The sequence below is a fragment of the Homo sapiens genome, chromosome 6 (genome assembly GCF_000001405.40).
Source record: "Homo sapiens chromosome 6, GRCh38.p14 Primary Assembly".
In the NCBI taxonomy this organism is placed as follows: Eukaryota; Metazoa; Chordata; class Mammalia; order Primates; family Hominidae; genus Homo; species Homo sapiens.
The window spans coordinates 143,636,448-143,658,708 of NC_000006.12; the positions used below are offsets into that span (position 1 = coordinate 143,636,448).

Below are 22,261 nucleotides of genomic sequence, written 5' to 3' on the forward strand. Positions count from 1 at the left end.
AGACCTATTTCTGAATGCTTTATATCAGTGTTTTTCAAAGAGTAGCCAATAAATCACTTAAGGTTGTCTGCAGTCTATCAGGCAGTCTATAGGCAGTTGGATTCCAAGAAAAATGTTATTAAACTATTTGATTCACAAATTTAAAATAGAAGATAAATTATTACTTTCACAGAAATTCCATGCTTTCTTAATTATTTTCATGCCTTTAAACATTGCCCATGCATTAGCTCATCTTGGGTAGCATATATTTAACAGGATAGATTTTGCCATGAACAATGAATTTTCAGGTCATTTGTATATTATTGTTTTCATTATGAAGTTTGCTTCTTATTTCTGTTGGGCTATGATACATACCCAACTCACCAAACAAGATGAATGGCTTCAAAGTCATTCATTAAAGCATAAATGTCGAGTCCTTTTGGTTGTCTCATATCTTAGTACCTTTCTCATGTAGATGAATATAATTCTAGCTGAAAGTGGAATAGATCTTCCCTCTGCCATCTCCTGGCCATCAGCCCTTGGGCACATGGCCACATGGCCCTAGGTGTCACCATTAGATGCTCTCAATCCAGATTCTCAACACGAGGGTTGCCATAAAGGTACAGGCCTGAAGAGATTTGCCATGGTGGCCTTCAGTGGTAGGGATGGAGTGTCCAGGGGTTGCATAGTTTGGCAGCGTGACTAACCGGGGGTGGTGCAAATGGTGGTGTGCTAAGCATGTGGTTCTTCTGAGGGATCCTTGCTGTGCCTTGCTCCCTTGTTTTTGCTCTAACCTCAATTCCATGAGCCACTCAATATCCTTCCAAATAATTTTTTTTCTAAGTTAACCATTCTTTTGTTTTTCTAAGTTAACCATTCTTTTGTTGTTTGAAAAAAAAAAGAAAGGAAGAAAAGGAAGGAAGGAAGGAAGGAAAAAAGGATGAAGGAAAGTAAAGAGCACAGGAAACGTAACAATGATATTTAGTTTTTCTTGGACTGGTAGCTTATCTATTCCTAGTCCTCAATATGTTCTCAGTAAGACTTTGCGAAATTGAAGTATATTCATTTTCTATGTTGCATAACAAATTATCACAAATTTAGCAGCTTAACACAACACATATTAACTATGTCACAGCTTGTATGGGTCAGGAGTTCAGGCACAACTTAGCTGGGTCTTCTGCAAGGCTACACTTTAGGTGTTGGGCAGGACACAGTCCTCATGTGGAGGCTTGACTGGGGAAAAGGGACTGGTCCCATGTTAGCAGAGTCAGTTCTTTGCAGCTGCAGCACTCATGGCAGCTTGCTTCTTCAAAGCCAGCAAGGAGAGCAAGGCTCTAATGCAAATCTGCTGTAGCAATGGGAGTCTTTTATAACATAATACAATCACAGGAGAAACATCCCTTCGCCTTTGGCAAACGTGATAACATAGTCATGGGAGTGACATCCCGTCACCTTTGCTATGTTCTAGTTGTTAGAAACAAGACACAGGTCCCACCCATACTTAAAGGGAGAGGATTACACAAAGGCTTGAACACCAGGAGGCAGTGATCATGGGGGGATCATCTAAGTGTCAGTCCACCACAAAGCTTTCATGTCAATTTCAAACAAAAGCAATAGCATTTCTGGTAAAAACAATCTAATGATTCCAGAGCAAGGTTACAATAATATTTTTAGTGTGTAGTTGATGAATTATTTCAGTAAATATAGACAGAAACCACAAATACTAAGGTCTTCCTTGTAGCAAATAGAGACTTAAGTTATAGTATTGCTGAGAGCTTGATTGGCAGTTACAAATTCAGTGATCGCTATGGCTTAAAAAGAAGCAGAGGAATGCCAGGTGCAGTGGCTCATGCCTATCATCCCAGCACTTTGGGAAGCCAAGGTGGGAGGATCACTTTAGGCCAGGAGTTTGAAACCAGCCTGGGCAACATAGCAAGACCCCGTCTATACAAAAATAATAATTAAAAGATTAGCTGGGCATGGTGGTGCATGCCCATAGTCCCAGCTACTCAGGAGGCTGAGATGGGAGGATTGCTTGAGCCCAGGAGTTCAAGGCTGCAGTGACTATGATCATACCACTGCACTCCAGCCTGGGCCACAGAGCAAGACCTTGTCTCAAAAAAAAAAAAAAGTATTACACACACACACATACACACACACACACACACACACACCCAGCTATCCAAGTTTTGAGCTAATTTTTCATTTTATATTAAGCATTAAACACCCCAAATGTATATTTGCTTAAGAAAAAATGCTAAATACATACTTTTAAAAAAGGGCAGTGAAGTTAGAAGATGAATGTTAGCAGGCAGATTCATCATACTTTTCCTTCAAATATTTTAAGAATAGTAAATCCACAGACAATGCTTCTTGCATATAGGGAAGTACATGTGTCTTGTCCATTGCTCTTTCTAGCAATATAGATAAATTCCTTTGTTCTACTCTGTCAATTTTCCTGCCCAATTGCATATTTGTCCTTAATAATCAGTAGTTTACAAAATTTATTCTGTCTAAAAATTGTAATTTAGAGTGTTCGTAGCTTCCCCAAAACTATGAATGACATTATCTCCTTAATGATCATTTTCTCTTTGCCCAGTTGTCAGGCAATAAAATTATTCAGTGTAGCATCAAAAGCCTCAGCCAAGGGCTGATAAAGTCAGATGAATCTACATACTTATGCATAATTTTTTAACAGTGTCCAATATTCTTCTGAATTATTTTTGAATCATTACATCTTTCTGCTTTCATGAGCCACCAATGACATGCTTCATAAAATGACAATTGCTGCAAAGTACCTGAAGTACAGTCTGTCTTTCCAAAACAAATTAATGGTAAGATATACCTATAGCAATGTAATGTTGTAAAACAAATGTAACAGAACTTTATATAGTGATTTAATCTTTAAATCACGTTGGGAGTTAGTGTTTATGCCATCAAGGCTATCATTGCTCAAAACATTTCAAAAATTACTAAGTGAAAGCATATTCAGAGCCATTTTATAAGTGACACAAGCAAAATAATTCTTATTTTTAATTCACACTTTTGTTTTCTGCTTATGTAGATCACCTATTTTTACTTTTGGCATCTAGATGACATTTGGCCCATTCAAAAAGAATTAATTGTGCTGGGGAAAAGTCTTTAGGTTTGGGAGTGAGAAAGCCTGATTATAGCGGGAGGGATTACTAACTCTCCCTTTGATGATGGATTAGCATACCCCATCATGAGTAAGGATAGCGATGGTTTGAGCAAGACAGTTGACAAGCTTGATGTAATTGATCAAGAACTCTGCACACAACAAGTAGATATTCATTCCTCTTAGGCAAATATGAAACATACACAAATATTGACTATTTACACAGTCACAAAAGAAGTTTTAAGAACCACTGAAGGGTGATTTGATTTGCATTACATTTTCTCACTGTAGTGCAATGAAATTAGAAGTCAACATAACTACTCTAAAGATAATGTGTTCTGGTTCCTAGCCTCCAGAAGCTGGAGGAAGCAAGGAATAACAACTTGTTATTAATAGAGTCATGTGCTACATAATGATGTTTCTGCCAACAGTGGGCCACATATATGATGGTAATTCTGTGTAACTGTAATAGAGTTGAAGAATTCCTATAACCTAGTGATGTCACAGTTGTTGTGCTGTCATAGTGCAAATGCTTTACTCACAAGTTTGTGCTGATGCTGGTGTAAACAAACCTACTGCACTGCCAGTTGTATATAAGTGTAGCACATATAATTATGTACAGTGCATAATGCTTGATAATGACAACAAATGTCTATGTTACCGGTTTGTGGATTTACTATACTTTTAATCACCATTTTAGAGTGTACTGCTTCTACTTACTGTTTTTTAAAAGGTCACTGTAAAACAGCCTCAGTCAGTTCCTCCAGAAGGTATTCCAGAAGAAGACACAAAAGATGGATAGATGAGCAAAGTTAACCAGGTCACTCAGTCAAATAGAATAGAATAACGTTCTCAAACAAAAGACTTACAGAGAGACATAAGGAGAGCAACTTGCTATCTAGCTAGATGCGTTTATGGAAGTGCAGAGATGGAGGAGAAGTGAGCCAGGAGACGAGGCTGGAAGGTGAAGCAGACCTCACAGAACCAGTCAATGCCTACAAAAGGTCAATGGGTTTTGTATTCCTCTTGATTGAGCCTCAGAACAAACATTTTCCCTTTCTGTTTTCTGTCAACTAATTTAGTGCTATTAATACATTAATAAACTACTACTTAATCTGAAAAATGCTAAAAGTATTTTTTCAAATACAAGGGACATTCTCAAGCAATTGTGTAGTGGACTGCATAGTGGCTCCTCAAAAGATATGTCTATGTCCTAACTTCCAGAACCTGTGAACGTGACTTTATTTGAAAAAAAGACCTTTACAGGTGTAATTAAGTTAAGGATCTTAAGATGAGATACTCCTGGATGACCCAGGTGGGCCCTAAATCCAGTAAGTTTCCTTATGAGAGACAGAAGAGGAGAAAATAGACACACAGAAGAGAAGGCATGTGTCTTAGTCTGTTTTATGCTTCTGTAACAGAATATCTGAGACAGGGTAATTTATAATGAATGAGAATGTATTTCTCATAGTTCTGGAGGTTGGTGGTCCACGATCAAGGTGCTGGCATCTGCTGAGGGCATTCTTCATGACTCAGGGAGGCAGGTGTCACATGGCAGAAGGGCAAAGAGAGAGCAAGAGGGGGTTCAAACTTGCCATTTTATCGCAACATTAATCCCACCCTTTGCAGTGGAGACCTCATGGCTTAATCATGATTTAAAGGTCCCACCTCTTAATACTGTGATAATGGCAATGAAGTTTCAACATGAAGTTTTTAGAGGACAAACATTCAAACCATAGCAGCATGTGAAGATGGAGGCAGAGATTGGAATGGTATAGCCATAAGTCAAGGAATGCCTGGAGCTTCCAGAAGCTGGAGGAGGAAAGGAAGGATTCTCCTCCAGTGCCTTGAGAACGAGCACTGCCCTGCCAATTCCTGACTTCTTACCTTCAGATCTGTGAAATAATACATTTCTGTTGTTGATTTGTTTGTTTGTTTGTGTGTTTGTTGTTGTTGTTTTTGAGACAGAGTTTCGCTCTTGTTACCCAGGCTGGAGTACAATGGCATGATCTCGGCTAACCACAACCTCCGCCTCCCAGGTTCAAGCGATTCTCCTGCCTCAGCCTCCTGAGTAGCTGGGATTACAGGCATGCACCACCCTGCCCAGCTAATTTTGTATTTTGAATAGAGACGGGGTTTCTCCATGTTGGTCAGGCTGGTCTTGAACTCCCAACCTCAGGTGATCCACTGGCCTCAGCCTCCGAAAGTGCTGGGATTACAGGTATGAGCCACCGCACCCAGCCAAATTTCTGTTGTTTTAAGTCACCAAGCTTGTGGTAATTTGTCATGACAGCCACAAGAAGCAAATACAAGCAGCTGAGATGAAATGGAGTTCTATATACATTTTTTCTCTTGTGACACTAAAGAATGCCTAGATATTTATGCATCTAACTAGGTAATCGTGTTTGTCCCACTCATGCATGGCCAACAGCTACATAGAGGTGAATTATATATAGCTCCTCTGCAGTTAAGTACACTGTAGCGCCTCTTTAATAATACCAGATCCTTGATTCAGAATGTCCTTTCCATTCCACATACTATAGTCCCAAACCCTAGATGAGGTCAGGATACACTGGCCTTATACTGACACTGTTGTAAAATGCATAGGAATTTAATCAATGTCCTATTATTATTATTTGTAATTTCCTCTTGGTCTTGGAATGTCCTACAGTTTTTGAAGATCCAGCTTCTGTACCACATTGTTATTAGGGAGAAATTATTTATTGTCTGCATCGCAAGCAGGCTTGCTTTGGAAGCACTTCGCGAACCTAAAAAATGTGATCTGTTGACCAGAACAATGAACAACTATGGTAATATAAGTAAGCAAAATTCACAAATAAACACCTCATTGTGTCAAAGATTTGCACCTTCTTATCTTCAGAGCTCTTAGAAGAACTGCAGTCAGATGTAGTGGTTTGGGCATGGCTTGTTTGATTGTGTTATGGATTGAGCCGTGTCCCTACAGCCTTGCATGTTGAAGTCCTAACCCGTAGTACCTCAGAACATGACCTTATTTGGAATAGGGTTGTTGCAGATGTAATTGGTTTAGTTTGGATGAGGTCATTAGGGTAGGCTCTAATCCAGTATGACTGGTGTTCTTATAAAAAGAGGGAATTTGGACACAGAGATACCCACACAGGGAGAACACTATGTGAAGATGAAGACAGAGATTGGGTGATGCTTCTACAAACCTAGGAATGTCAAAGTTTGCCAGCAAACCATCAGAAACTAGGAGAGGGACATGGAACAGATTCTCCCTCACAGCCCATTCCACCAATGCTCTTGTCTTGGGACTTCTAGTCTATGGCACTGTGAGACAATACATTTATGTTCTTTAAGCCACCCAGTTTATGGTACTTTGTTACAGTAACCCTAGCATACTAATAGTTTGGCTATTCCCTATTAATTTGCTTGGAAGTTGTTCATGAGTACTAAGATAGCTCATGAAAATACAAAGCAAAAGACTGTATTTAAATTATATTTCAGGTAGTTTCATTGTAAATTATTTTGGAATTAACTATACTAAAAAGATTTTATAGTGCATATATAATAATGAATTGAGTACATCATTATTTTACAGAGACATCATTGGTGAGGCTATTTATCCAAATTATTGTTTAAATGGGTCTTTTTTTTGCAAAAAATATTTCATAAATAATCTATCCCCTGACTACTTGATTGGCTTCAGAAGTGTTTTGATATAGACATCGTCTCAAACCAAATTTAACGTCCCTTCTAGTTGGAGAATTTTTAGTGGTTCGATTTAGAAATATTTTCTTAAAAATCCACAGATGGGGTCATACTATGCACAAGTTACTTCTGAAAATTGGTTAGTTTATAGTCCAAAAGTAATTAATATTTGCATTTAATTCAGTTTGGAATTCAGTAAATTTTAGTAACATTCCTTTGTGAAGTCAAGTCACTGGTTATAACAATGTTTTAACCATCAGTTGTTTATAATGCATTGTTTCATCTATATATAAGTCATGGGCATTGAGGAAGGAAAATGTACCTTCAGTGAACTTTGAAATTTAGTTCCTCAAAGGAGGGCTATTACTAGAAGTGAACAGAAGTAAAACAAAATAATAACTAAGTATACAGCTCATAAATGTTCAGATCTAGATAATTATGTTTAATTTCTGCTTTTGCTTACCATTTAAGATCAAACCTCTAGGTATCTTTTAATCTAGCTCTTTAGATTGTTAAAATGTTTTATGTGAAATGCACATTTAGTTTATAAGCAGCAATTTAGTGTCCTGTTTCCATGAGACATTGATATTAAATAAAACACTAGAAAGAAGTAATCTAACTTTTTTCTCCTTTGTACAAGCCCCTCTTTGCACCTCATGTGATGTTGCTTACTGGATATCAAAAAAGATTAGAAGCAGGGTGATTTCAGATCAAAGAAGAAGCATCTGCCTACCCCCAGGGTTTTTAAATATTTAAATATTTTTCTCGTTAAAAAAGTAACTCAACAGAACTCTAAATAAAATACAATTTTAAGGAACCAATGTATAGTCATTTTAAGCTATTGCCAGCAAACCACCAGAAGCGAGGTGAAAGGCAAGCTATTATATAATCACACTTTTTCCATTGTATTGAAAGTTAAATTCAGCTTATTTGCCAAAGAATGCTTCAAATACACTGAAATTTTACATAATAGTACAGGCTAAGGCGGGTGGAACACAAGGTCAGGAGATCGAGACCATCCTGGCTAACACGGTGAAACCCCATCTCTACTAAAAATACAAAAGAATGAGCCGGGCATGGTGGCGGGCGCTTGTAGTCCCAGCTACTCAGGAGGCTGAGGCAGGAGAATGGGGTGAACCCGGGAGGCGGAGCTTGCAGTGAGCCGAGATCGCACCACTGCACTGCAGCCTAGGTGACAGAGTGGGACTCCATCTCAAAAAAAAAAAAAAAAAAGTACAGTTATGAACCTGTATTATTATATCACAGTTAGACTCAAATGACTCTTAATGACATTTATTTGGACTCATGTATATTTTAGGCTTTTTTTTTAGCATAATTCATTGACTCTAAGATGTAATACTTTTCACATTTTATCAGCTTTAAAGTCAGGATATGTATTATAATCAATGGTTTCTTACAAATATAATTGGCAACCATGTTTTGTTTTTCTTAGTGGTATGTAAAACAATGGTGTATCTTAAAATCAATCATGGCATCTTAGGGTTTGTTTTTTTTTTTTGCCTTTTAAGTAATGTTTATTTTTCATTTGCTTGTTTTTTCTGTTTTTTGATATTTTTAATTTTATGTCTGTAGGCTATTGGGGAACAGGTGGTGTTTGGTTACATGAGTAAGTTCTTTAGTGGTGATTTGTGAAATTTTGGTGCACCCATCACCTGAGCAGTATACACTGCACCCCATTTGTAGTCTTTTATCCCTCACCCCCTTCCCACCCACCCTGAGTCCCCAAAGTCAATTGTGTCATTCTTATGCCTTTGCATCTTCATAAGTTAGTTCCCACTTATGAGTGAGAACATACAACTATGGAAAACAGTGTGGAGATTCCTTAAAGAACTAAAAGTAGATCTACTATTTGATCCAGCAACCCACTACTGGGCATCTACCCAGAGGAAAAGAAGTCGTTATACAAAAAAGATACTTGCACACAGATGTTTATAACAACACAATTCACAATTCCAGAAATATGGAGCCAGCCCAAATGCCCATCAATCAACGAGTGGAAAAGAAACTGTAATATATATATATATGAATATATATGAATATATATAGATGATGGAATACTACTCAGCCATGAAAAGGAGTGAGTTAATGGCATTCGCAGTGACCTGGTTGAGTTTGGAGACTATTATTCTAAGTGAAGTAACTCAGGAATGAAATGAAACATCATATGTTATTTGGTTTTTATAACAGGAGATATAGCTTGTTTATTTCAAGCCACACTCAGTGTTGGAAAATGCTGTTTCTTATTCTGTAGGTCCAGCATTCCCAAGCTAAAAGAAAGTTGTGTGGCGCTAAAGTGTTTGGCAAGGTTGTATTATTGATAGGTGAATTGCTCATAGGAAGAGAAAAATTTAAGTGACTATATTAAGAATGTTCTGGTATTTATAGTTCTCTGTCTTTTCCATTCTTGAGAATGTAATGTTCTTTGTGTTACTCTTTAAAGCAATGGAGAATAAATAAATTGTTTAGTAAGTCATGTTGACATTATTCCTTAAAAAATTGAAAGAGACTGTATGTCCCTTCCTCATAGAATACACAAAACTAAATTACAGCTGAATTAAAGATTTACATCTAAAAGCACTTAAAAGTACCAGAAGAAAATATTTTTTAAAGTGTGTATTCGTATCACTAGAGTGTGGAAGTCATTCCATAATATGACACTAATATCAAAATTTATAAAGAAATGATTGAAAGGATTGATTACCTCAAAATATATAACAATAGTCTATCAGAAAAGATGAAGCATAGATTTAAAAAAACTGGAGAAGAATAATTATGCAGAGATAAACGTGTCAGAAACAATAGAATACTTTTTTTAATATTTTACATCAAAATGTATATTCTCCAGTCCTTAAACAGGCATTCAATGAGCATCTCTTATGTCTGAGGTCATAGGCTGGGTACAAGAGAGGTATAAATTAGGCTCAAATGGGGCCCACAAAGAGCCCCAAATCTAGGGTTTTATTTTCATTGTTAGAGTGTCTATGTCTATGTCAGTAATTGGGATTATTTTTAAACTGAAAAACTCTATCCCACTTTAAAACTCCTAAATAGAACAAGCATTTATCTAACCTTAATATCATAGCATAACTCCTTAAAGTTTATTGACTTTAAAATAACTAAATTCAGTAGCTCTCAAATATCCATAGTATGAGTGACAGACCTGTAAAATCTAATTGACTTTATTTGGCAGACACAGGCAAACACATACATGTATTTTAACATAATATGATGACTACTTAGACATAACCTGATCCTTCAAATATAACTGAAAAAAAGGTGCTCCATTTTGCATGATTTATTATTGAACTAGAGTTCCCTTTCCTAGGTACATGGAGCAAATAGAGAAGATAATTAGAATTCCACTTTTCTTGAAATGTCAAGAAGGGCAGGTGTACTCTGACCTCAGCTTTAAGTTTAACCAAATATATAGGGGGATTTGAGACTGCTCCACATGTTTCTCATGGAATTTCCCCCAAGCACTACTCTCTGAAGAGCCTGAAAAAGTATGTAAGAAAAGCCTTGTTCTCTCTTGACATGAAGTTATGCTCAGCCTGCTTATTATGCTAGAGCTTAGTGTCTGAATAGCAGAGAACGTTTTCTCATCCTTAGTTATGTTTGTTGTTCTAACATAACAGTCTTCTGATCACGATGATTCTCTATAATCAACATTTCTTAAGTGCCCAGTGAGGTAAGCCTTGCTTCTAAAGAATTTTAAAATGTATTTTTAGCAAGGCTCTAAAGATTAAGTCTTCACCTTGCTGTCAGCAGTTACATTTTTTTCTAAGGGGTAAAAAGCACAAACCAGAATTATGCTAGATCTCCATTAAGATATAAAACATTTTATGGTGCCGGGTTGCTGTTGACCTACATTGATAATTGGAAATATTACAACTTATTGCAAAGGTACTAAGTATTATCTATTATAATATGTGTTTTGCATCCCTTTCTGTGATGTAGATAATATTAGTCCTATTTTGCAGATGAGGAAACCAAGACTCTGAAAGCTAAAAAGCTTGCTAAAGTCACGTGGCTAATGAGTAATAACAAGATTCAAAATCAAAACAACCTGACCCTGAAACCCTCCTGTTAACCAGTGACCTTTTCTCCTCTCAAAATTCTGCAGTAAATGGAAACCATTTCACATGTGTTTATTCATTCACACCTACAGTGTGCCAGCTCCCAGTGTAGTCTAGGTATACTATCCATGGTGAAGAGGACAGCCTAGGTCGTTGCCCTCATGGGCTTGCATTCCATTGAGACAGATACATTTCTCAGTGCTTAATTTAGTTAAGTGAGATGGGGGCGGGAAAGAAGAGAAAATAGAGAGACAGAGAATCATGGGGTTTTGACTTTACGCGGGAGTCAGGGAAGGCCTCCGTGAGGATTTGTTAGCTGAAAGGAAACCTTGGTTGAAGTGAGGGAGGAGGAAACCTTGCAGATATCTTGGGAGAAGAGCACCTGTACAGAAAGAACAGCAAGTGCACAGCCCCCTGTGCTGGGAATAGGCTTGTGTCTGAGAACCACAAAAAAAGCCAGTGTGGCTGGAAAGGGCAGGTAAGGGAGAGCATAAGGGGAAATGGGCACAGAGCTAGCCACAGCCAACTCAGGGAGGCGTTGTAGGCCCTGGTAAGGATTTAGGACTTTCTTTTGACTTCTGTGATAAGAAACCAGTGAAGGGTTGGGCTTGGGGAAGTTGCCCCTGGCTGTGTGGCCGCAGTGGAAATAAGGGAAGCAGGTAGGATCCTGCCGTGACCCGAGAGAGATGTATGGCTGCGACAGAGCCACAACAGTTGGGAACTGGTGGGTGATGACATTTGGGGTCTGTTTTGAGAATTCAGGGGATTTATCATCTCGTTGGTGGCAGGAACAAAACTCATAGCAGCATAGTGCAAGAATACAGACAGCATCCTGTTAAGGACCGCAGTGTTTTCTGCAACTTCTTCCATGTGTCTACTGCAAATTGTCTGAGAAGGGCAGGGCCTAGGAAACATGGTGGAAGTTTTGAGATAAAAATATTGCAGCCCATCTGCATTTCCCTGGGAGCTCAATTAGTCATCACTTTGCCTTATTATTTACTAAGCGTTCATCATAGTTCTAAATAGATTCCTCAAAAGAATTAAATTCAAAGGGCAAAGGGGTAGAAAATGGATCTGACTGTCTCTGCACTGGGAGTCCCTGGGAGGGGGGGACGAGGAGGAACAGACCAAACAAAGCATGGCTGATAGAAAGGGAAGCCTGCGATGGGTGGGTTGAGTCAGGTAAGACAGAGAAGCTTGCTAAGGTGGAGTGGAAGGAAATCCTATCATTACTGTGGCTGCCCTCTGAGGTAGGAAGGAATGAAGAGCCCGGGAGGTTTAAAGTGCTCTGAAGCACTGATACTGTAAATGTGGCATGCTAGCATAGGGGAAAGTGTAATTCAGACAGGCAGACTACTCTGTCTGCATTCCTACAACTGCTTCTCCTCCCCAGGATGTGCACGTGTGTGTGTCTCTGTGTGTGTGTGGGCATGTGTCTCTGTGTGTGTCTGTGTATGTCTATGTGTATATCTGTGTGTATACAAGTGTGTGTCTGTGTATGTGTCCATGTGTGTGTCTATGCATATGTGTCTATGTATGTTTGTGTGTGTGTGTGTGTCTGTCTGGGTCTATGTGTATGTCTATGTCTATGTATGTTTGTGTGTGTCTGTGTGTCTATGTGTATGACTGTTTCTATGTATGTCTCTGTGTGTCTCTGTGTGTGTCTGTGTGTCTATGTGCATGACTGTGTGTGTCTGCATACACTCAAAATGCTTCTGTGGAATAAAGTCAATTAGATTTTGCCTTTCCACATGGCTTCTGTATGACCTGTGCTTGACCAACCATCAACCAAAGCCCACGGCTTTTCCTCTGAAAGGGATGCCACATTTTTGTGTGTGTCTGTTTGTAAACAGTGACATTCAAGCACAAGGGTTAGGGATGGAGTGGATAAGGAGGGTGTGAAACAGCACAAATCAGAGAAAATTTAAGAGGTACAAGAAGAAGGTTTTTTGCCTTGGCTTTAAAATGCTGGTAAACACTAACTAATTCTATGAGGCCAGCATCATCCTGATACCAAAACCTGGCAGAGATACAACAAAAAAAGAAAACTTCATGCCAATATCCTTAATGAAACACCAATGCAAAAATCCTCAACAAAATACTGGCAAACCAAATCCAGCAGCACATCAAAAAGCTTATTCACCATGATTCAGTAGGCTTCATCCTCAGGATGCAAGGTTGGTTCAACATATACAAATCAATAAATGTGATTCATCACATAAACAGAACTAAAGACAAAAAAACCACATGATTATCTCAATAGATGCAGAAAAGGCCTTCAATAAAATTCAACATCGCTTCATGTTAGAAACTCTTAATAAACTAGGTATTGAAGGAACATAACTCAAAATAATAAGCACCATATATGACAAACCCACAGCCAATATCATACTGAATGGGAAAAGCTGGAAGCATTCACCTGAAAACCAGCACAAGACAAGGATGTCCTCTCTCACCACTCCTATTCAACACAGTATTGGAAGTTCTGGTCAGGGCAATCAGGCAAGAGAAAGAAATAAAGGGTATCCAAACAGGAAGAGGAAGTCAAATATCTTTGTTTGCAGATGACATGATCCCATATCTAGAAAACTCCATTGTCTCAGCCCAAAAACTTCTTAAGCTGATAAGCAACTTCAGCAAAGTCTCAGGATACACAATCAATGTACAAAAATTATTAGCATTCCTTTACATCAACAACAGGCAAGCTGAGAGCCAAATCATGAATGAACTACCATTCACAATGGCCACAAAAAAATAAAATACCTAGGAATACAGCTAACAAGGGAAGTGAAGGACCTCTTCAAGGAGAACTACAAACCACTGCTCAGAGAAATCAGAGATGACACCAAAAAATGGAAGAACATTCCATGCTCATGGATAGGAAGGATCAATATCATGGAAGTGGCCATACTGCTCAGAGGGATTTATAGATTCAATGCTATTTCCATTAAACTGCCATCGACAATCTTCACAGAATTAGAAAAATCTATGTTAAAATTCATGTGGAACCAAAAAAGAGCCCAAATAGCCGAGGCAATCCTAAGCAAAAAGAACAAAGCTGGAGGCATCACCCTACCCAACTTCAAACAAAACTACAGTAACAAAAATAGCATGGTACTGGTGCAAGAACAGACACATAAACCAATGGAACAGAATAGAGAAGCCAGAACTAAGACCACACACCTATAATCATCTGATCTTCAACAAACCTGACAAAAACAAACAATGGGGAAAGGATTCCCTATTTAATAAATGGTGCTGGGAGAACAGGCTAGCCATACGCAGAAAATTGAAACTGGAGTCCTTCCTTACATCTTATAGAAAAATCAACTCAAGATGGATTAAAGACTTAAGTGTAAAACCCAAAACTATAAAAATCCTAGAAGAAAGTCTAGGCAATACCATTTAGAACATAGGCATGGGCAAAGATTTCATGACGAAAACACCAAAATCAATTGCAACAAATGCAAAAATTGGCAAATGGAATCTAATCAAACTAAAGAGCTTCTGAACAACAAAAAAAACTGTCATCAGAATGAACAGACAACCTACAGAATGGGAGAAAATGTTTGCAATCTATCCATCTGACAAAGGTCTAATATCCAGCATCTATTAATACAAGGAACTTAAACAAATTTACCAAAAAAAACAAACAACCCCATTAAAAAGTGGGCAAAGGACATGAACAGACACTTTTTTTAAAAAAGATATATATGCAGCCAACAAACATATGAAAAAAAAGCTCAACATCACTGATCATTAGAAAAATGCAAACCGAAACCACATTGAGATGCCATCTCATGCCAGTCAGGATAGCTATTATTAAAAAGTCAAAAAGCAACAGATGCTGGCAATGTTGTGGAGAAAAAGGAACACTCTTACACTCTTGGTGGGAGTGTGAATTAGTTCAACCTTTGTGGAAGACAGTGTGGTGATTGCTCAAAGACCTAGGAGCAGAAATACCATTCGACCCAACAATCTCATTACTGGGTGTATACCCAAAGAAATGTAAACCATTCTGTTATAAAGATACATGCATGTGTATGTTCATTGCAACACTATCCACAAAAGCAAAGACATGGAATCAACCTAAATGCCCATCAATGATAGACTGGATAAAGAAAATGTGGTATATATACACCGTGGAATACTATGCAGCCATAAAAAGGAATGAGATAAAGTCCTTTGCAGAGACATGATGGAGCTGGAAGCCATTATCCTCAGCAAACTAATGCAGGAACAAAAATCAAACACCGCATGTTCTCACTTATAAGTGGGAGCTGAATGATGAGAACACATGGACACATGGCAGCGAAACAACACACACTGGGGCCTGTTAGGGGGTGGGAGGGTGCAGGGAGGGAGAGCGTCAGGAAGAATAGCTAATAGATGCTGGGCTTAATATCTAGGTGATGGGGTTGATCTGTACAGCAAACCACCATGGCATACACTTACCTATGTAACAAACCTGCATATCCTGCACATGTACCCACAAATTTAAAATAAAAAAATATATAATATATATATAAAAGAAAATGTGGATACACAGAGACACCAGACATAGGCACTCACACAGAAAAGGCCATGTGAGGACATAGAGAAAAGGCAGCCACCTACAAACCCAGAAGAAAGGCCTCAGAAGAAACCAAATCAACTGATGCCTTCATCTTGGATTTCTAGCCTCCAGCCTGAGAAATTAAAGTTCTGTTGTTTAAGCAAAAAAAAAAAAAAAGGCCGGTAAACACTGGTGATTCTGCTTTATACTAAAAATGATGGCGGTGATGGGGGAACCGTTTACTAGGTACAACCACAAGATATTTGGTCAAAAAGGATTGAAAGCCACTACTTGCTTTCATTTCTTGAAATACATTTCTTTAAATACATACCATTTCTTGAAATACATTTATTAAGCACAGATGAGTGTTGTTTTGGTTTTTGTTTAGTGATTAAGTGTACAATCCCCAATAAAATATTTTGAAGTTTTTCCAAAGAAAAGAAACTCTGCCTGGCTGCATCAGCTAGACAAAGGTACCTGCGCTGCTGTTTGTTTGTTTGTTTGTTTGTTTGTTTTTCCCTGTATCTGCTGGAATATTTTAGCTGATGGACATTTGAGCTGGCATTACTTAAATGAGAATCTCTTCAAAGTGATGCACGCTGTGTTTTTCCCTGTGAGACGTGTGAATGCCTTGTGGATATTTGTGAGTACACTTAAGTGTTTTTGTTTTCCACTATGCTAGGTCAGTTTTCAGATCTTATTAAAAAGCTCAGGGTTTCGGGAATCCGACTGTTCTGCAAATGCCTGCTGCTGTTGTTAAGTGGCCTGTACCATCCTTGAGTAGGCAAGAAGAGCTGAGATTTCACCAGAAACAGTGACATTCACACCCAGGGGCTGAAATAAGGCGGAATGCCCACCTGGAGATAAGTCTTGGCTGTCACACCTGGACCGCCTGCTCTGGTCATGTGTGTGTGTGATCTATAATAGGGTCACAGCTTTATGAAATTCAGTCACTTTGTAGCAGCCACTCTAAGGAGGATGATTCATGGTCCCTGTGCAGGCACTGCACCCAGCACCTTCTCAGGAACATTCACATTATTTCCAGCTGGATTGAGGCTGGAAGCTCCCTGGCAAGCAATAGAAAAGCACCAGGTGTTCCCAGCAGCGCTCTCTTTCACCCTTGCAAGCTGCAACTGGCAAGAGAATTGTACTTGATGGCACACGGTGTGATGGTTGCCTCACTGCCAGAGCATTTGTTCTGGATGCCTCTGTCCCCAGGTGTCTCAGAAGTAATCCTAATCATTGAACTTTGGCCCTCTGGAAACAAGGCCAGTCGCAAGACACGTCAGGAAGCAATTTGTGCATCGAGACTCGAGCTGCTTTGGAGTTTCCCTCTGGATTTTAGTCAAGCTGTCACAAAGTTCATGACTTGGTTTTTCCACTCTTGTAAAATGAAGGCTGCTCTGACTCCTGCCTGCAATCTCCAGCTTATTGCCTTTAATACTTCCCTGTTGCTATTGCTAAACCCCTTACCTTATACAGACTGTGGAGATGGGCAAAGGAAAAAAATCTCCAAGCTTTTTGATATGGTGCTTTGAAGACACAGTTTACTAATGGCCTGAAAGAATTCATTGCAGCTTCCCACATGCAAAGTTTATTTTCGGAGAGTAGTTTATATATGGAATAAATGGAATAGAATTGAGTCCAGAAATAAACTCTCACATTTTTAGAAAATTGGTTGTCAACAAGGATGCCAAGACAATTCAATGGGGAAAGAAATGTCTTATCAGCAAACAGTGCTAGGGCAACTAGATATCTATGTGAAGAAGAATAAAGTGAGAACTCTACCTTACATCATATTAAAAAATTAACTCAAGATTGATCAAAGACCTAGATGTAAGAGCTAAAACTATAACAGGCTTAGAAGAAAACATAGGTGTAAATTTTCATGACCTTGAATTAGGCAATTATTTCTTTAAAATATGACACTAAAAGCACGAAAAACAAAAGAAACAATAATAATTTGGACATCATCAAACTAAAAATGTTGTGGCTCAAAGGACACCATCTATAAAGTGAAAAGACTACCCAGAGAATGGGAGGAAAGTTTTGTAATGTTGTATCTGAAAAGGGAAGTATCTATATAGAGAACAATTACAATGCAATAATAAAAAGACAAATACTCCAATGTTCAAATGGGCAAAGGATTTGAAAAGACATTTCTCCAAAGAAGATATTCAGATATCTAATAAACACATGAAAAGATGCTCAGCATCATTAACCATCAGGGAAATACAAATCAAAACCACAAGAGACCACTTTATACCCATGGGAATGTCTATAATCAGAAAGACAGGTAATAACAAGTGTTTGCAAGGATTTGGAGAAATTGATGGTGGAAATTTAAAATGATATAGTCACTTTAGAAAACACTCTGGCAGTTCCTCAAACAATCAATCATAGAGTTACCATATGAACAGCAATTCTACTTCTAGGTATATACCCAAAAAAATGAAAACATATATTCACCAGAAACTTGTTTATGAAGTGCAGAGCAGCATTATTCTTAACAGCCTAAAAGTGGAAACAACCCAAATGTTCATCAAACTGATGAATTCGTAAATAAAATATACTATATCCACTCAATAGAATATTATTTGCCAATTAAAAAAAATAAAGGCTGGATACTGTGGCTCACACCTGTAATCTTGGCACTTTGGGAGACTGAGGTGGGAGGATCACTCGAGGCCTGGAGTTCAAGACCAGCCTGAGCAACATAGCAAGACTCCATCTCTACAAAAAGTAAAAAATTAGCCAAGCATGGTGGTGCACGCCTGTAGTCCTAGTGACTTGGGAGGCTGAGGTTGGAGGACTGCTTAAGCCCAGGAGTTCAAGGCTGCAGTGAGCAATGATCATGCCACCACACTCCCGCCTAGGTTGCAGAGCAAGACCTTGTCTCTACAAATAAACAAAAACTAAATGAAGTATTGATACATGCCACAACATGGACGACTCTTAAAAACATCATGCTAGCCGGGCACTGTGGCTCACGCCTGTAATCCCAGCACTTTGGGAGGCCGAGGTGGGTGGATCACCTGAGGTCAGGAGTTCAAGACCAGCCTGGCCAACATGGAGAAACCCCATCTCTACTAAAAATAAAAAATTAGCCGGGTGTGATGGCACATGCCTGTAATCCCAGCTACTTGGGAGGATGAGGTAGGAGAATTGCTTGAACCTGGGAGGCGGAGGTTGCGGTGAGCCGAGATCGTGCCACTGCACTCCAGCCTGAGCAACAAGAGTGAAACTCCGTCTCAAAAAAAAAAAAAAAAAGAAAAAGAAAAAAAAGAAAACATCATGCTAAGTGAAAGAAACCAGGATGAACGTTGTATGATTCTATTTATATGAAATGTCCAGAATAGGCAAATTCCTAGAGAAAGAAAGTACATTAGTGGTTGTCTAGGGTTGGGGGAATTGTGGGGAACAGGAAGTGATGCTAATGGGCATAGGGTTTCTTACTGGGTTGATGACAATACCATAAAATTGATGGTAGTGATGGTCACACAACTCTATGAATATACTAAAAACCATTCCACTGTATACTTTAAATTGGTGAATTGTATGCTATGTGGATTATATTTCAATAAAGAAGATATTTAAAAATCACAAAATATAGATGATTAGAGAATATGGAATATGTCATTAATTATAGATTTTTTCTGCATTTTTAATACTTTCTTTGACTTCACTTGCTTTCTCAGATGTTTCTTAGAAAACATCCAAAGCAAAGATTTACAACTCTGTACGGAAGCCACAGATTTTGTAAGAAAAGGCTAAAGAGAAAAAGATTACTGCAATGTAGTGTTTGCATTTATGATTTACTTTCTATTCACGTTTCAGACTTAGTTATTTACTTTGCACCTATTACCACATACTTGCTATTATCTCTCCATACACATGAAAGTTCTTCGGAATTTTTAGTAAAATGTCCTCAGTTTCTGAGTCAAACCTGTCTACTGAGAATCAAATATAGTTTTCACTAAAGTTGCTTCCTACGAATTGCCATGTGAGAAAAAGAAGAAAACAGACGGGCAGCAGATACACTATTTTCTCCTAGTTGATGGCAAAAATTAGATCTCTATCAAGATCAAAAAAGAGTTCTTTATTCCATGAACTAAGTTTCTTATCCTAAGGTGATTACCGGGGGAAATATTTAAAAGAAGCATCAGTGGAGGGAAGGGTAAATCGTGGGATAAAATACACTCATTGACTTTCTTCTCCAAGCCAAACTGCAGAGGAAATAACAGGCGCAGAGACTTCTAGCAGGGTTGTCTGGTGGGACATGCCCTGGGATATGGGGTCAGTCCATTCCTGTCCAGACCAGGGACTTCCTCTGACCTTGGCAACTCAGTTACCTCCTGTGAGCCTAAGCTTTCTTGTCTGCAAACTGAGAGATCTCTCAAGTCTTTCCTGGCTGTAACAGTTACAGGGGCGTCCAATCTTTTGGCTTCCCTGGGCCACATTGGAAGTAGAATTGTCTTGGGCCACACATAAAATACACTAACACTAATGATAGTGGATGAGATTTTTTTTTAATTGCAAGAACATCTCATAGTGTTTTAAGAAAGTTTACGTATTTGTTTTGGGCTGCATTCAAAGCCATCCTGGGCTGTGTGTGTCCCACAGGCTGCAGGTTGGGCAAGTTTGGTCTATGATTTTATAATCTGATCTAGTATTCTCTGAGACATCAATGCTAGATGAGGATACAGGTAGATGAATGAATATTGTAGTTGAGTAAATATTACACCCGGTGTGTTGATTAATGAATAGATGTGATCATAGAAGAAGCAATATCAAGATTTTTCACCAGCCTCTGGAGTTATCACTGATTAGCAAAGCATTTTAATTAATAACTCAAACAGAAAAAGCATGTCTGTTAGTTTTGCAATCCGCAAAAAGATGAACACAATAGACATGTTAATTCCCAAACTTAGTTTCAAAAAAACTATCTGCCAGGTTTCAAATGAACATAGGCTTGATTGGCCACACGAAAATTTAAATATTATGAATGTTGAATGGCCAACCATAAGTTCAACTTGAACTAAGTTTGATGTGGCTACTTTTTATTTTTTACTTTTCAAAAATTGTGGTACACACTGCATCTTCTCACTCATAAGTAGGAGTTGAACAATGAGAACACATGGATGCAGGGAGGGGAACACCACACACTGGGGCCTGTTTGGGGGTCGGGGGCAAGGGGAGGGAGAGCATTAAGACAAATACCGAATGCATGCAGGGCTTAAAACCTAGATGACGGGTTGATAGGTGCAGCAAATCACCATGGCACATGTAAACCTATGTAACAAACTTGCACATTCTGCACATGTATCCCAGAATTTAAGTAAAAAAAAAAATTGTGGTACAATGTACATACAGTGAACAATTCAGAGTTTTGTCAATTTCATACAGCCATGCACTCCACACCCCTATCAAGATGTAGAATATTTCCAACCCCTGAAAAAAGATCCTTCATGCCCTTCCCAGTCAGTCCCCACCGAGGCAAACACTGATCTGATTTCTCCCCAGTACGTGTTTTTCCAATCCTAGAACTTCATCAGTCATAGAATATGTACTCTTTTGTGTCTGGTTTCTTACACTCAGGAAAATGGTTTTGAAGGTCATCCATTTTCTTGGTTTTATGAGTAGTTTCTCGCAGGTTGTATTCCCTGGGAAGAGACAGAGATGAACACGCAGGGCATTGATAAAGGAGTTCTCTTAGAAGCCACGTCTTTTGAAAGGCAGGGAAAGAAGTCAGATTGAGCAGATTGGGGAATAGAGCTGTGAGGCAGCTCCAGCCCCAGCCTCAGTGCATCCCAGTGGGGGTACTGGCGTGAGATTGTCTGTCAGTTATCTCAAGGTGGGGTGTGGGGACCTTGATGCTTGCCCCGTGTTGATCAGGCATTGGATGTGGGCTCCTTCTACAGGAAGGTGGTATCTCGGGCAAGCCTGCAGCTTTCAGGCAGGGAAGTTCTCCTTATAAAAAGCTGACAGCTGAGGGCTGTCTCCCAGCAGCACTCCTAGCAGCCAGGGGAAATAATCCCTTTATTTCTGAGGGGGGGTCCAGGCAGCACATCACAGTGTTTTATTGCTGAGTAGTATTCCATTAATGGACATACCACAATTTATTTACCCACTCTTCTGTTGAGGGACGTTTGGCCTGTCCAGTTTGGGGCTATTATGAACAAAGCTGCTATGAACATTCCTAAACTGGTCTTTTTATGGATATATGTTTTTATTTCTGCTGAATAAATGACAAGTAGAATTTCTGAGTCATAGGGTAGGTGTATGTTTAACATTACAGAAACTGCCAGACTAACCTGAGCTTCAACAACAAATGTGATTTTAAAATAAATTTGGGTACAAATATAGAAATACACCTTCAAATTAACAAGGGAAATTCAGGTGAAACTTAAATATGAACTTAAAACTTAACCTGAAGTTGACCTCCTTAATGATAAGGTTCTCCTGTGCAGTATTTGAAAACGAATTACAGCACTCAGTCTCTTTTTCCCAACAGATTTTTTTCAATAAAGTACAACCATGCATTGCTTAAAGACAGGGATACAATCTGAGGTGTGTTGTTAAGTGATTTTGTCATTGTGTAAACATGATAGAGTGTATTTTAACAAACCTGGATGGAATAGCCTACTATACAACCTAGGCTGTATGGTATAGCTTATTTCTCCCAAGCTACAAATCTGTGCAGCATGTTACTGCACTGAATACTACAGACAATTATAACACAATGGTAAGCATTTGTGTATCTAAACATATATCTAAACATAGAAAAGGTATAGCAAAACTATA

General features: G+C 38.7%; 1 protein-coding gene across 5 annotated transcripts in view, besides 1 other annotated feature; it reads left to right on the forward strand.

The window, feature by feature from the left end:
• The window catches only part of PHACTR2 (phosphatase and actin regulator 2), a 294,308-nt gene that overhangs the window by 99,570 nt on the left and 172,477 nt on the right, over window positions 1-22,261 (forward strand). The window lies entirely within an intron of this gene.
• Window positions 1,118-1,661: an enhancer, noted in NCBI's record as "OCT4-NANOG hESC enhancer chr6:143958702-143959245 (GRCh37/hg19 assembly coordinates)". NCBI's record gives its function as "activates a minimal SCP1, AML or CMV promoter by ChIP-STARR-seq in naive H9 embryonic stem cells {active_cell/tissue: H9 hESC(naive)}" and the evidence as "EXISTENCE:reporter gene assay evidence [ECO:0000049][PMID:30033119]".